The sequence below is a fragment of the Homo sapiens genome, chromosome 2 (genome assembly GCF_000001405.40).
Source record: "Homo sapiens chromosome 2, GRCh38.p14 Primary Assembly".
Lineage (NCBI taxonomy): Eukaryota > Metazoa > Chordata > Mammalia > Primates > Hominidae > Homo > Homo sapiens.
In genome coordinates, this window is record NC_000002.12 from 17587161 (window position 1) to 17601498 (window position 14338).

Sequence of the window (14338 nt, forward strand, 5' to 3'; positions counted from 1 at the left end):
GGACTGCTCCATTTCAGCCACTCAGTTTTTATTTAAATGAATCTTGCTAAGATTCAGCTAGGCTGATTGCTAGATTACCTGGGAGGAGCTGGATATGCAGTTCTGTGTGCCTCTTCATACTCAGCAGACCCTGGTATGTTCTGGAAGACTGGATTTAGATACAGTAGGTAAGAGACAGGCTGAGGGCAACACACACACACACACACACACACACACACACACACACACACACACATATATTTTGTTTCAATCCTCTTTAATACCCAAAGGGCTTATGGAAAAAAGATGCTCATGGGTGCTTCTTGGCTCCCTTGTAGGCCCTTTCCACATCCACGAAGTTCTCCTGGTCCTCTTCTAGGAGCATTCTTAAATCCTCTGCCTCTTCTGCTCTGGAACCTGCTATCAAGACAGGGTAGGAAATGGATGAGAGATGAGCGAAACTCAAGACAGGAAGACCAGTTGGGAGGTAGTTGCAGTATCTTTGAGATGATCCTGCAGGTGAGAGAAGATGATGGCCTCTATTAGGAAAGCAGTGGGGTGCGAGAGAACTGCATGCATTCTTTACTAAGCCCTTACTAGCTGGTTTAGCTAGGGTAAATTACTTAATCTCTCTGGCCTTCAAAGTTCTCATCAGTAAAAAGGAAACAATCATAATCTCTTTTTTACAGTTTTTAAAAATACTGTTTTTAATGCTGTAAAAAAGGGGTCAATAGTTTATATGGGTCAATGTTGTTGCACAAAAGCCTTTTGTAAATTAGTGTACAAAAGTGCCATCTTCTCTGGACATCATTTGCCATTAAGTGAAACTGTGCTTTCCTCCACAAGGGCTCTATCATTTGAAGTTCTCTTGTCCATCAAAGCCCTTCCACCAGTCCTGTTTTGTGCCTAGCACTGAACTTCTCTGTATGACAACACAAGCAGTGAGAAATTCTTTTGGTTTGGGGATGGGCTGGCTTTAATATTATAGCTTGAAATCCCAGCTTAAAAGTAATACACTCCGGTTTCTGTCCCCTCCCTTCTTCGGTAATAAACACTTAAATGCTGATGGGTTCTCAGGTCAAGAATCCACAGAGCCTGCATGTGTTGAGACAAGCCAATAGGAGGTCTGACTCATATTTTCATATTTACAAAACCTATGTGGGAAATCAGTGAATGGTAGAGTTGGAAAGGCCTTAAAGATCATCTGGTCCAACTCCTCATTTTTTAAATGGGGAAATGGAGTAACTAGGAAGGAAAGGATCTTGGCCAAGATCACAGAGTAAGTTAGAGACAGAGCCAGCCTGCTTCCCCCTCATATGGTGTAGCGGAATCTCTTTATTGGGAATGTGATAAAATGTACTGTTTGTACTCTTTCTGTTATGCTGGTCCCATAATGAAAGATACTGCTTGGCCCATATCACTGCAGCCCAGAGCAAAAGGACTATAGGTGGAGAGTATTAATCTAACTACACTTTCATTCATTTATCACACATTACTAAACACCACCTTTATGTCAGTTACTGAAGATACTGAGATAAAAGACATGGGTCCCACCTGCAAGGTATTCAATTTTAATGATGAAGACAATCTCCAGGAGGGCTGAATATTTTCCATGCAGTTAAATGAAATATTTCTCCCATCTGCCAACTGCATTTTATATTTATACTTGTGAATGCATTGACTCTCCTTATATATAGATTATGAGACATTTTCTCAGAAAAAAAATACCAAATATCTCAGACCCCTTATTTATTCATGTCCTCAAGAAATATTATTTGAGCACCTAATAGGAGTTACCAAGAGGCAAAAATAAATAAATAATAGTCCTCTCTCTCAAGAAACCATAATAACAATCCAGTAGAGAAATACATAATGATCATGGAAGCTTTTACAAGGAAAGGGAGATACCTAAGAGAATGGGTGCCTAAGTTTGCCATGGAGAGTCCACGAAGGTTTCATGGAGGAGGTGGTGTGTAAATTGAGACTATTTAAAGAAGGGGAAGAAGTCTGTTGAGCAGAAAATGGGGGGAAGTCATTCTAGGAGAAGAGAACAGCATATGCAGAGCCATGGAAGTGTGGAAGCATGCAATCCTGGAATCTATAATAGTTTATAATCACTGACACATGAGAAAAGACAGATTGGCAGAAAACGAGGATATAAGTAGGCAGGACCTGAGCCACGCTAAGGAGATGAGGTTGCATCATGGAGACTAAGGAGAAGTACAGAGGCTTTTAGAGAGTAGATCAATGAGGTTTGTATTCTGGAAATTCACTCAGGCAGCTGTGCAGAAGGAGAGTGGTTGGAGTCAGGTAGCCCAGTGGGGAGGCCAATCTTTAATCAAGGCAAGATCTGATGAGGCCTATGAGGGCAGTGGCAATGCCATTCTGAGCCAGGCCAGAACCTGACTTTCTGTGTGATTCAACCATTGCCCAACACACCTGAGTGATGGTGCAGACCCATACAAGAAGCATGAAGTTATGCACTTGAGTCTCCAAACTGTGATTCACAGTCCTGACAATATTTCCTGTGTGTGTAAGAGACCACCCTCTCCAAAGTCAACTGGAACAGTTTAAGACATCACAAGTGACCCATGGAGAAGCCAAGCTTCCTTGCCTAACAAAGAAGCTGATACGTTGTTGAACTTCTAAAGGCACTTGGGGGAGGTGGTTTTTAATACAAAGTCACTTCTGAGCTTGTGGTTTGGTAAATTTAAGTCTTTTCCAAACAAGGCAGCCAGGCTGGCAAAGTGATCCTTTTTCATCCCCTCTAGGCACTGATTCAGTTCTCTGAAGCCTCCCTGCTTTCGCTCTTCCTGTTCCTTCTCCTGAAATGTCTTTCATCCACCAGTCTATGATTGGACATTGGAGTCCTATAGATCCAGGTTCAAATTCTAGCTCCGCCATGCATTAATTGTATGCTCTTATACAAGTTACCATAAGCGTTCTGAGCCCCAGGGAGCTCCCCTAATCCTGATTGCTCGGTGATTGCTGAGCAGGAGATGAAATTTGTGAGGTGTTCCATTAAGTGCCTTCTCCATCGCCAGCACTCAATATTAAATAGCTATTTTTCTTAGGTGAGATTCTAGTTTAAGAATGAAGGTTTGTAATTCTCTACCAAAAAACCAAAGTAAAGTACTGAAAGGTTTCACAATAATACATCTTTTGATTTTCAGGATAACCATGAATTAGAGTTTTCTTACTCACATTAATTAAACCTGACACCTGAGTACCCACTTGATTTCCACACCCAGCTGTGGAATTCCACAGTAACTTATAATTAATAGACAGTTGCTTATAAGAGATTTGGAACTTGAATTCAGAGCAAAAATAAGTAGAGAAGCCCCATGACAAAGGGAAGAGTTGCTGATACTGGGCCCTTTTCTCATGCTGACGAGTTTGGAGGGTAAATGGCCATCTTAATGGTATCATCTGACTGCATTTTGTGCTGCCGAGATTGTGCTGAGTGGAAATTTCCCTGGAAGTAGCAAGAGTGGCTTAGTTTCATTACAGTGAAAGAATTGGCCAATGTTGGGGCAGGTTACTGACAATGGGTGTGGAATCTGTTTTAGGAGAAGTTAAAAAATCATGACAATAAAGTATGTGATGAGATTACCCCTTCCAGGCTATTGCAAGTGTAGACATGCCTGCAGCTTGAAAGAGAGTTTGTCTCAAGCACAGTGAAGGACTAGGTTCACTTGGTTAATTCTTCAACCCTAACTCAGTATCTTTTAACTGAATTTGAAAGATCATCTGGCACTTTCCAGATTCTGGAAATTTTCCAATTTTCAAGTTTAACTTGACTTTTTAAATCAATCTGGGGTTAATTTATGTGTTAATTCTTTTATTATTATTATTAGCAATAGTCTTATTATTATTTATTATAAAGCAACTTTAAAGGGAAAATTTTAAAATTATCTTTAATTTTCCTGCAGTTATTTTAATTTTGGAATTTTTTTTGGCCTTTGTTTACCTACTTACTTGTTAATCAGCCATCACAATGAATCTGAAAGAGCTTCATTATTATGTCTGCTTTATTAATGAATAAGTTGAAGATAATGCAGTTAATTAACGTTGCCCTAAGTAACACATGTAGTAATTGGCCAAATCAGGAAGAAAAATCAGGAATTATCTCAAGCCTGCTCTGTCTCCCTACTCCCTGCTGTGATGTTGGCCACACAACCTGGTGCTTAATGGATATAGGTAACATTATCTTATGCACTATTACTTTAACTCAAAATCAGAAATAATAGCAGTCTGGAATAATATCAACAAAAACTCCCCAACCAATCCCTAGAAGAAAACCATTAAGATTTTGTCAACTCTGAAGACAATGTTGTACGAACTTTCTAATTATGAGAGGAGAAATAGAGAATTAGTGTGACTAATAGAAATAGCTGTTTTTATTGGGGAAAAAAGCTCCAACTTGAACCAGACCAACTGAGACTCCTTAATATTGCTGATTGGATATTCCAAGCCACTTACTGATCATTTAGTTATAAAGTCTTCTCATTGTTCTTGTCAGTAATCCCACTGAGTATCCCATTAAACTAAATGTAGAGTTAAACACCTGGGAGGCAAGTGTTAATAAAGTGTAATTTGTAGAAGGAAAAGAAAAACAACTTCTATATGCTTACTATGAATAGCATAAAAAGGGATGGTTGCCTTCCATTTGGGAGTCAACACCATATGAAAGATGACACAATGAGGTAAAGAGTGAATGCTACAGCCCTTGGAACTGTCAGAAGAGTCTATTTCACTCATATATTTTTCTAGAATACCAAGTAGAAGGAGGCAGACTTGGGAAGATATGCATCAGCCACACTGGAGGGAGTTCCGACCATGGGACTGCTCAGAACTCTAGCTTGGCTCCTAACCAAGTTTGAAATGATCACAGCCACAGCGCTAATTGAATTAATTTGCTTTTCTTCAGGCAGGATGGGGAAGCAGAATAGCAAACTGGCCCCTGAAGTGATGGAGGACCTGGTGAAGAGCACAGAGTTTAATGAGCATGAACTCAAGCAGTGGTACAAAGGATTTCTCAAGGACTGTCCAAGTGGGAGGCTAAATCTCGAGGAATTTCAGCAGCTCTATGTGAAGGTAAGTTGTTTTTCAACCTTGTTTTTATTCCTTAGGCCAGAAACTATGGCCTTCATGAAATTGTACCCTCACATGGAATTATAACTCTAAGTAGCTAGTTTGTTTCAACTCTGGCTGTTTTCCATCCAGAAAGAAAAATTAACATTTAAAAATGCAAATGTATATATGTTGTTCCCAAAATAAGCAATTTCTGAACAAAAAGAGTAATTGTTAAATCAAAGCACTGAATAGAGCTCAAGGAATGACAGCATCTGGTGAAAGAACCATAAAAAGCTCAGAGAAGAGTGTTTGCTGATAATTATTGACAGTTTGCTAATTACAGCATTATTTGGCCTGTTAAAGGTATATGTACTTCTCCCAGTTAAAGAAAAAGTACACAAGAGGGCTTTTTCTCTCTCTCTCTCTTTTTTTTTTTTTTTTTTTTTTTTTTTTTTTTTTTTTTTACCAGAAAAGATACTCCTGTATCCAGATAAGAACCCAGATTCCCACAACAGAACATTTAGAAAAGGGGTGGGGGAGTGTAGCGTATCTCTGGTCAGCAATGTCTACAACATAGACAATAACTCAACACTGTACACTACTCAGAAGCTAAACTTTCCCTGAACATTACACAGAACAGTCCCATAAAAGGTACAATTTCTACTGCAGTGGTATTGTTTTGGCTTGTCTGAGTCTACAAGTTGTATTGGTTCTAGATTGGGCTGATCTAAGACATTCCACTTCGTGTATACTTATGTAATGTTACACAAGTGAAAGAAATACATTTTTAAAACTTTTTCTGATTAAAATACCAAATAGAAAAATATTGCTTTATATCATTTAATTAGCAAATGTTGATTTGAGCAATATTGAATCACCCAGATGTATATATGTGTATGTGAAATGATTGAATAAAATATTAAGCATTATCATTATGTGCTGAAGCTGAACATTTTCTATAACCTATGATCCAGCAATTCCATTCTTGTACTGTACAAGAAGGGGCATGTGTAAGAATACTCATAGCTGCACTATTCACAATGGTAAAACTGGGAAACAACCCAAGTGCCCATCAAAGGGAAAGTGGAAAATAAACAGTGGTATATTTGAACAATATAACATTATATAGCAGTCAAAATACTTGAACTGTAACAACACTAAGATATTAAAAAAGCAAGTCTCAAAAGATTCTAAAGGAAATAGAAATTTTTAAAAATGTGTTTTATAGGATTACCAATAAATGCAATAAAATCATATAAAAAGAAAAGCAGGGAAGTGATGAACCCAAGATTCAAACGAAAAGTTACTTCAAGTGGGGAAGACCAAGGGATGAAATTGGGGGTATGGCCATGTGGTTAGATATATATTGTGTTCAAAGTCATAACTGTTGCAAGTGTTTATTGCATCATTAAAAGCTCACTAATCAACAGAATAAGTAGTGTGCATTTTATACGATCACTGTGACATTTCTAAGAAGATCTGGGTAATCAATTATTAGCATGCCAAGATCTTTTCTATAGAAGTGCTGAGAAAGTGCATCTATTACTCAATTGATGTCTATTGCTTTTGCAGAGAAGTGGGATAGTATGTATTTCCTAGATAACCATACTACTCTCCCTAGTTTTCAATGTCATGTCTTCTATTTTATCACCTAGGGGCTAGTCCATGCCTTGGAACTCTCTCTATTCTCAACCACAAAGAAAGTACAGACAAACAAGGTTTTTCAAAGTCACTTTCATATCACTAAAGGCCATGCAAGCTGTCACCCTATGATTAAGAGAGCACCGTGTGCCACGTTCCTCACTATTTGTTTAAAATGAGAGGGGTATTGCCTTTGAAGAAATAGTTGAAATGCAGGAAATGAGGTATTTTATTTACACACTGGAAGTATGTAGCACTGAAAAAGCACCAGCCTCAAGGTGAGGGGTCATGTAAACATTAAGCATGCCTTGGCGTTTTATGGTACAACTGATATATATGCACCAAAATCATCTCCCACCTCCCCATCTCACTCCTAGAGTGGGTTTTTTATTCCAGGAGGGGAATATATGACTTTCTGAACTTAGGTCTATATTTTTGGCAAACTCTTATTCCAACTCTGCCTGTACTCTTATATCAAATAGAAAGCAGGCAGTCTTTTTCTCCTTCTAGAGTTGTCCAAGGACAGAAAAAAACCGCAGCAGAAATATGCCACGTACACAGAAAAAAGAAAGGCGGATCTGATAAGCTGGAAAGGAGAAGCCTGGAAAAAGATGTGGATTATGTAATAGGCCCAGAAGATGGGCTGATGAGAAAAAGCTTCTTTTAATGTTTCTGGAAAAAAATGCAAATATTCAGCAAGACACGGTCATTATCCTGGTGAATGGGCACATTCAGTGATTCCTTCTATCTTTGGTGCAGAGATTGAGGCATCTTGGGATGCAACTGAGGGAGCAAAGCTGACTGCAGCCTCTGCCCTCCTGTGTGTGCAGTCAACCTGGCACATCCCCTCTTGCTACCAGACCCGTTTCCCTTTCCAGGAGGAAGTCAACTCGGTTGCTAAAAAACAAGTTCTGATGAGTGTTTAAGGAGGAGCAGGATAATGGGAGTGGCTCCGCTGCAAGGCCAGGGGCCACAGTCTCCCAACTTTAAAAGCCCTTGCATTCCAAATGTGAAGGAACTCCTTCAGCAGATATATTTTTAAAAGCATTTAAAACTGAGGTTTAGAGAAATGAGGCAATTTGCCCAGCAACACAAACTGAATGTGGAACAGACTTCAAAGACAGGAATGCTGACTCCCACTGCAGCACATAGCTCTGCCTCTCAGCCAAACTCCCAGGGCAGCTCCTCATTAACACCCTCCAGCCCATCCACCATACAGCTGCTGGAGTGAGATTTGTAAAACACAGATCTGAACATGGTCCCTCCCAGCTAGATGCAGGCTTCACTCTTTAGTCATGAAGACACAGTCACCTCATTTCAATCAATGTTAAGACCCAGCGGCTAGCACAGGGCCTGCCACGGAGCAAGTGTGGGTAAGCATTTCTTGCCTGAATGTAATAAGTGCTGGCTGTACATCTCCTTCTTAGGCAGCCTTGTGATGGAGGCATATAAAAGTGACTATGGGACAGTCCTGCCTGCCCTCCCGAATTTCACAGGCAAGTTGGGAAGATGTGATTCACCACAATGTAATGTGTAATGACAGAAATGTTTGGTGGTAGGGCAAGAGTAGAAAGCAGAGAGGTTGATTTCAAAATGGAATATTAAAACAAGAAGTTAATTAATGCAGTGATGAGAGGAAGACTTTTCTATTAACCTTTTAGAAAACAAAATTGTCCCCTAGCAGATAGCTCTTTCCCTTTTCAAGCTTGCTGCCTGTTATCAGCTGAATAATATTCCCCCAAATTCATATGTTGAAGTCCTAACACCCAGTACCTCAGAATGGGACTGTATTTGCAGACAGATCCTTTACAGAGGTAATAAAGTTAAATGAGGTCATGAGAGTGGGCCCTAATCCAGTGTGACGTGTCTTTAGGAGAGGAAATTTGGACACAGAGACATACATAGGAAAGGCCACGGGAAGGCACAGGGAGAAGATGGCTGTCATCTACCAGCCAGGGAGAGAAGCTACATTTATTGGTAATCCTATAAAGTGCATTCTTTAAAATTTGTATTTACTTTAGAATCTTTTGAGACTTGCTTTTTTAATGTCTTATTGTTGCTACAGTTCAAGTATTTTGACTGCTGTATAACGTTATATTGTTCAAATATACCACTGTTTATTTTCCACTTTCCCTTTGATGGGCACTACTTGGGTTGTCAACACATTCTCTTGGACTTCCAGCTTCCAGAACTGTGAGAAAATAAATATCTTGATTTAAGCCCCCCAGTCTGTGGTGCTTTGTTATGGCAGCCTGAGCAAATGAATATAATTCTTATTCCTTCTCTGTTGTCACATGCGTTCTCTGTGCCCTCTACATCTGATAGAAAGATGCCTTCTGTCCCAGATGTCTGGAACTCCCTGGACACGTAGGGATTTCTGTGTGTCTGGCCACAGAAGTCATAGCAGATGTTTCATCATCCCCACCACAGCACTGCTGCTGATAGGTTGGGAAGAAAGCGTTTGAATTTTGTCACCAAGAACCAAGTACCTGATCACCCCCCAAGGGAATTTCCTATTTTCAACAATCATTTTGATTGCCAATCCATCACAAATTAAGATGGGCAGTTTGCAATTTTAACTGTATTTTCACAGAATTGGCCACGGTTTAATGAGAAAATCAACCCAGGGGAAGAGCAAGCAAGTGTGTAGGGAAGAAGTGTCTCCATCCCAGGGTCCTCTACCTTGGAGAGTTGGTGCCATTGCTATTTTGCTTAGCCACTGTGACATCAAAGCCAAAGAAATCAAGAAACAAACCTAGAGGAATCCTGCAAAGAGCCCTAAGTGGATTTTAATTTATGTTTAGAGTTTGACTTTCAAGATTATTTTCATCAGGAAACATTTGGGTTGGTTTAGGTTCAGTTGAAAAGGCAGTCACAGAGTTGTTTAAAAAAAATGGGATTTGGAATCTGACAGATGTGAGAGTCATTCCTAGCTGTGTTACATTTACCAAATCTCTGCCAGTTTGAATTTGTTTCCCTGTCTATAAGGTGGAAATAATAAGACCCGTTTTATCACCTCACATAGCGGAGTCTTAAAGGAAAGAAGGGAAATGAAAACTATTTATGACATATCAAAAGTTGTGTTTGCTGTCCTGATTGACGATCCTCTCATTTACACTTACACAGCCAGGATGAAAATAAGTTTCATTTCACAGGCCACGTACGATGGCAGCACCAAATGGTGCACAGAGGAGGGTGAGAGACTCTATGAAATTTCAACAGGAAAATGTGCCCTAGTCAAATAGTGATGTCTACCGTGTATTCTTGTGGGTTTGGGGGCAGTGGTCATGGCAGGACATACTATGAGGCAGTGTCATCCCTATTCCCATCCTGGATTCTTAGACACCGAACTCTGTGTCCCCTAAGCACAAACCCTTCCCCAGCTCCCGCTGCCAGATAGGATGAAGATGGCACTTAAGGCCTTCTTTACCATTTCCTACCAATCTCTCAATGTCCTGACCCTCATGCCCCTCCTCCAGAAAGGAGACTTCCTTCCTCAATTCTACTGCTTATTATTTTGCAGATGAGGGGAGAGGTCCTCAGAGGCCACTGAGTACCCAAGGGTTGTTCTATTGGGCTCTGGCCCACCTCTCCTGAGCCTCAGCTTGTGCCATTGCTCCAAATTTTCTTCTTAGAAAAGTCTTAGGCCACTGACAGGTGCACCTGAGACAGGTGAGAGAGCCCTAGAGTCCAATTTGATCATCATTGATTTAACAGTTTGAATTTTAATAAAATATATTTGCATATAACAAGAGTTCCTACCAAGTCATTCCCTGTCCCTCTAGGTGGTCATTTCCTGAGGAGTTTCTGTATTTTGCTCATTAGAAAACATGCTTCCAGCTTTTCTAGCTAAGAGCAGGCTTATCCATTGGTTCATTCATTCACTTGAGACCCATTTTCTCTGTGCTTTCTGTGGGACAGACAGTTTATTGGGCATTGCCTTCAATTGCCCTGAGCAAGCTCAGAGCCTGGAGGAATTGGTGTATCATCTTATTTTTGAGTAATGCTTTTCACTTCACCAAACCATCTTTATTTTTACAACAAAATATACTGGTGGAATTCCCTTCAATGAGAAATTTTCCAGGCCTAAGGCATTGAAAATACAAATTTACTCACCAAAATTTTGTTGATACAACTACCCAGGAATATGTACTAAAACAAAATAAGAATAAATGTTATTATAGGACCAGCACCTAAATATTTGATGGTAAAAATCTTTTAATAGAATAAGAAATATTTTTCTAGTTAATAGATATTATGAAAACATTCTGTAATTCTCTGTGTGGTTTTAGAATTCTACTTCTAAATTGTGCCCCTGGGCTTAAAAACCTACTACGTGGAATAAAAGGCATTCTTCCTAAAGTTGTACACAAACATATAATAATTATAGGATTTTAGGTGCATAACCTCTGTCTTATAGAATATGAAATAAAATATATAATCAAGGTCTGCACTGTTTGCTGTGGGATTTGAACAAGTGCCTTTGTTTTTCTGGTTCTAAGTTCAGCATCTGTGCAAATGAAAACATTGGTCTATGTAGGTGGCTTTCAAACTGTAACGCATCTCAGAATCACTTGGGTTGACTGCTCAGTTGGCAGATTGCTAGGCCCCTTCCTCAGGTTGCTAGTTCACTGGAATTAGAGACCCAATATCTGTATTCTTAGTAAGACCTGCCAGGTGGTTCTAAAGGACAAAATCTATAAGTGACATTTTGAAAAACACTAATCTAGGTCTTAACCTGGAAGTATGTTTAAATAGGCTTCAGGAGTTCTGCCCACACTGAAGTCGCAAGTAAAATTTTATATATAAACTCTCTTGGGGTAGCTTTAATCAGATTCATTGAGGATTCTGTAGTCCCAAGAAAGGATAAGAGTCACTAAAAGTGTTTCTAACCATTGGCAGACGTAACATTCTAGGTTCCATAACAGTGGTTATTGAGTCTTAATTGGCACTAAGACAAATGCAGCAAAATCCCCTTCTAAGTTATACTTTCAAACAAACTTCACTGGCATAAGAATACAAATAAAAGCTTCCAGGCTTTGTTTTGTTAAATTGGTTTTTACTATGTAGATGATGTTTGACTGATTCATTTATGGCCCACCAATCAAGCTTTATTTTGTCTATAGCTCCACGCTAATGCAGAGGGAGTCTCCAGTGGGATAAAACGCAGCCCCTGCTTTGCAGTCCTCCTGAGCACTTCTATGTGCCAGGGGCTGTGTAGGCCCTGGGTCTGCAGAGGAAAACACCACAAATCCCTGCCTAGGTGACTATGGTCTGGTGCCATCCAGAAACCTATAGTGAAGATAGGGTAAAAAAATACATATATGAACAGCTATCACACTGGGTTGATTGTGATCAGGAACAGGAAAGACAAGGAAGGGCCTGGAGGGTCAGAGAGGGCTGGTTAGGAAGGTGACATTCAAGCTAATCCACAAAAGAAGGTGAATTTGAACATGAGGACCCATCAGTCTGTCTAGAAACTAAAAAATCTCATTGACTAAGACAATAAAAATTTGAATTTAAAAATGATTATTGTGTTTTTGAGCCCCTGTTCCTATTGTGTTGGCTGGAGGCCCACTGGGTCAAGTATGTTAGGTTGAAACAAAAATTCAAAAATCAAAAATAATCAAAAACGTCTTGGCAGCCTTGCTGAGATCAACAACCTGAAAACAATCTGTGGAAGAAAAAGCTTGAATACTTCTGGGGCTTCTGCCATAGGTCTCTCCCTTGTTTCTCACTCCCTCTTTTCTCTCTTGTTCTCTCTCTCTTGTCTTCTTTATTCCCTTCCTTTCCAATTATTCTAACCCCTGTCAGTCTGACCAGTGGCTTACTTGATTTCACCAAGGCCTATGAAATCGATCTTAGAGATAGCATTTCCTTCACTTTAAGCCATAGAGGTTGGGAAGTCAGGAGACTTGGCTGAGGTTACAAAGTGGTGAGTGGAGACAAACACCTGAGTCACTCAGCCCAGCCTTCTTGCCACCTTTTCATGCTTCCTGTGTCCTGGGAGTCACATTCAGGAGCAGGCATCTGGGAGGTTCTCCAGTTTATCTTGTGGTAGAGCAGAATGCACATCATGTTGCTCCATCCTAGCCATCTTTCCAGGATCAGTTCAAAAGCTTCTCCCTGGGAAATCATTTCTTGACCTCTCCAATTCCCAAAGCCAAAAGAGTCTCTTCCCTCTGTGTTCCCAAGACTTTGGTGTGCATCTGTCCCAACTTTTAGCAAGGACATTCTGTTCTGCAACCTGAATACAGGTAAATGCAGTGTGATTTTAATTAGAAGCCTGGATGTGCACCTGGTTCTGCCATACACTAGCAGTGTGAATATGGGAAAGTCCTTTATGCTTAAGGTTTGTTAAATAAATCCACAGACCACTCTGCCCCTCAGTTTTCTCACCTGTCAAATGAGAATAACACTCTGGGCCTTGCTTATTTCGTGGGCTCTTGTTGAGATAGGAGGGTGGTGAGAGCAAAAGTGCTTCATAAGCATTGAATCATCTTGCACAGGTGAGGCTTATCAGTGACTTGGTGTTAGGTACCTCAGCATGGGAGGATATCCAGATGCCAAATAGTCCAGTTTATTGGGCTGTGGCATCAAGAATTTTCTCTCATCAGATATTTTATCAAAAGAAAATGTGACAGAGATGACTACTGCCTCTTCTCAACATCTGATTCAAATAATTTTGAATATAAAACATTTCAAAAAAGATTTGGGGATGACCAGTTTTTAGGGATTCAGATTCTGTTTGTTACTAAGATGTGGTTAGGAGCAGACTTTATTAAAAATTCATTGGGCAGAGCTGTATATAGAAGGGTTTTAATTCCTTAAGGAATAGACATTACATGAAATACATAATGTCATCCAGACAGGGCTAGTGAGGATGTTGCAATTTTTAGCATGTATTTCCACTTGGAATGTTTGCCAATATGATTGAGGCTGCATTCAACTTGAATTAATGGGGAAGACAAGAGCTGGGGTCTGAAATCTCAAGGAAAAGACAATAATAATCTAGAGTTCTGAGAAAACAAGGTCCCATGTGAGGCTCCAACAGTATTTTATTATGGTGATATTGTCTCAGGGAATAGCTAGCTACCAGCATTAGAGACAGCAATTACCCCACAGGGGTCAAAATGATAACCTTCCCCTGTCTCCAAGGGTGTGAAGTTATTTTGGATGGCTTCCACACCTTGGGATTTTGCTTTCCCATGGTAGGGCAGGTGTCATTTAGAGAGATATCAGTGGTTATTGTGACTGTGGCATCCTGAAGGAATTGCTCTTAGATGGCACCTCAACCTCTCTGCCCTCAGGATAAGGTTGGAAAGAGCCCTTTAGAAGTCTCTCAGTCCACTCCCTCCCCCATTTTACAAATAAGGACATTGAAGCCCTTGAATGAGGGTTTAAAGCTAGAAGGATGTGCTGTCCCGTTAGTAATTCTCTGCAGCAGATTGCTCAAGGACACTCCATTTCTAATTGCAATAGAAGAAATGTCAAAGCAGCCAGGCATGGTGGCTCACACCTGTAATCCCAGCACTTTGGGAGGCCTAGGTGGGTGGATCACCTGAAGTCAGGAGTTTGAGACCAGCCTGGCCAACATGGTGAAACTCTGTCTCTATTAAAAACACAAAAATCAGCCAGGTAT

General features: G+C 40.1%; 1 protein-coding gene across 5 annotated transcripts in view, besides 1 other annotated feature; it reads left to right on the top strand.

Moving 5' to 3' along the window:
- The window catches only part of VSNL1 (visinin like 1), a 117047-nt gene that overhangs the window by 47189 nt on the left and 55520 nt on the right, over positions 1-14338 (top strand). For 4 of the 5 annotated variants that reach the window (NM_001366803.2, NM_001366804.2, NM_003385.5 and 1 more), the window contains exon 2: positions 4910-5076. In NM_001366803.2, coding sequence (NP_001353732.1) covers positions 4915-5076 — 162 coding nt within the window. In that variant the 5' untranslated portion in view covers positions 4910-4914. The remainder of the gene's footprint in view (positions 1-4909; positions 5077-14338) is intronic. The other variant, NM_001366806.2, reaches the window with a different exon arrangement.
- Positions 2697-3634: an enhancer, noted in NCBI's record as "OCT4-NANOG hESC enhancer chr2:17771124-17772061 (GRCh37/hg19 assembly coordinates)". NCBI's record gives its function as "activates a minimal SCP1, AML or CMV promoter by ChIP-STARR-seq in primed H9 embryonic stem cells {active_cell/tissue: H9 hESC(primed)}" and the evidence as "EXISTENCE:reporter gene assay evidence [ECO:0000049][PMID:30033119]".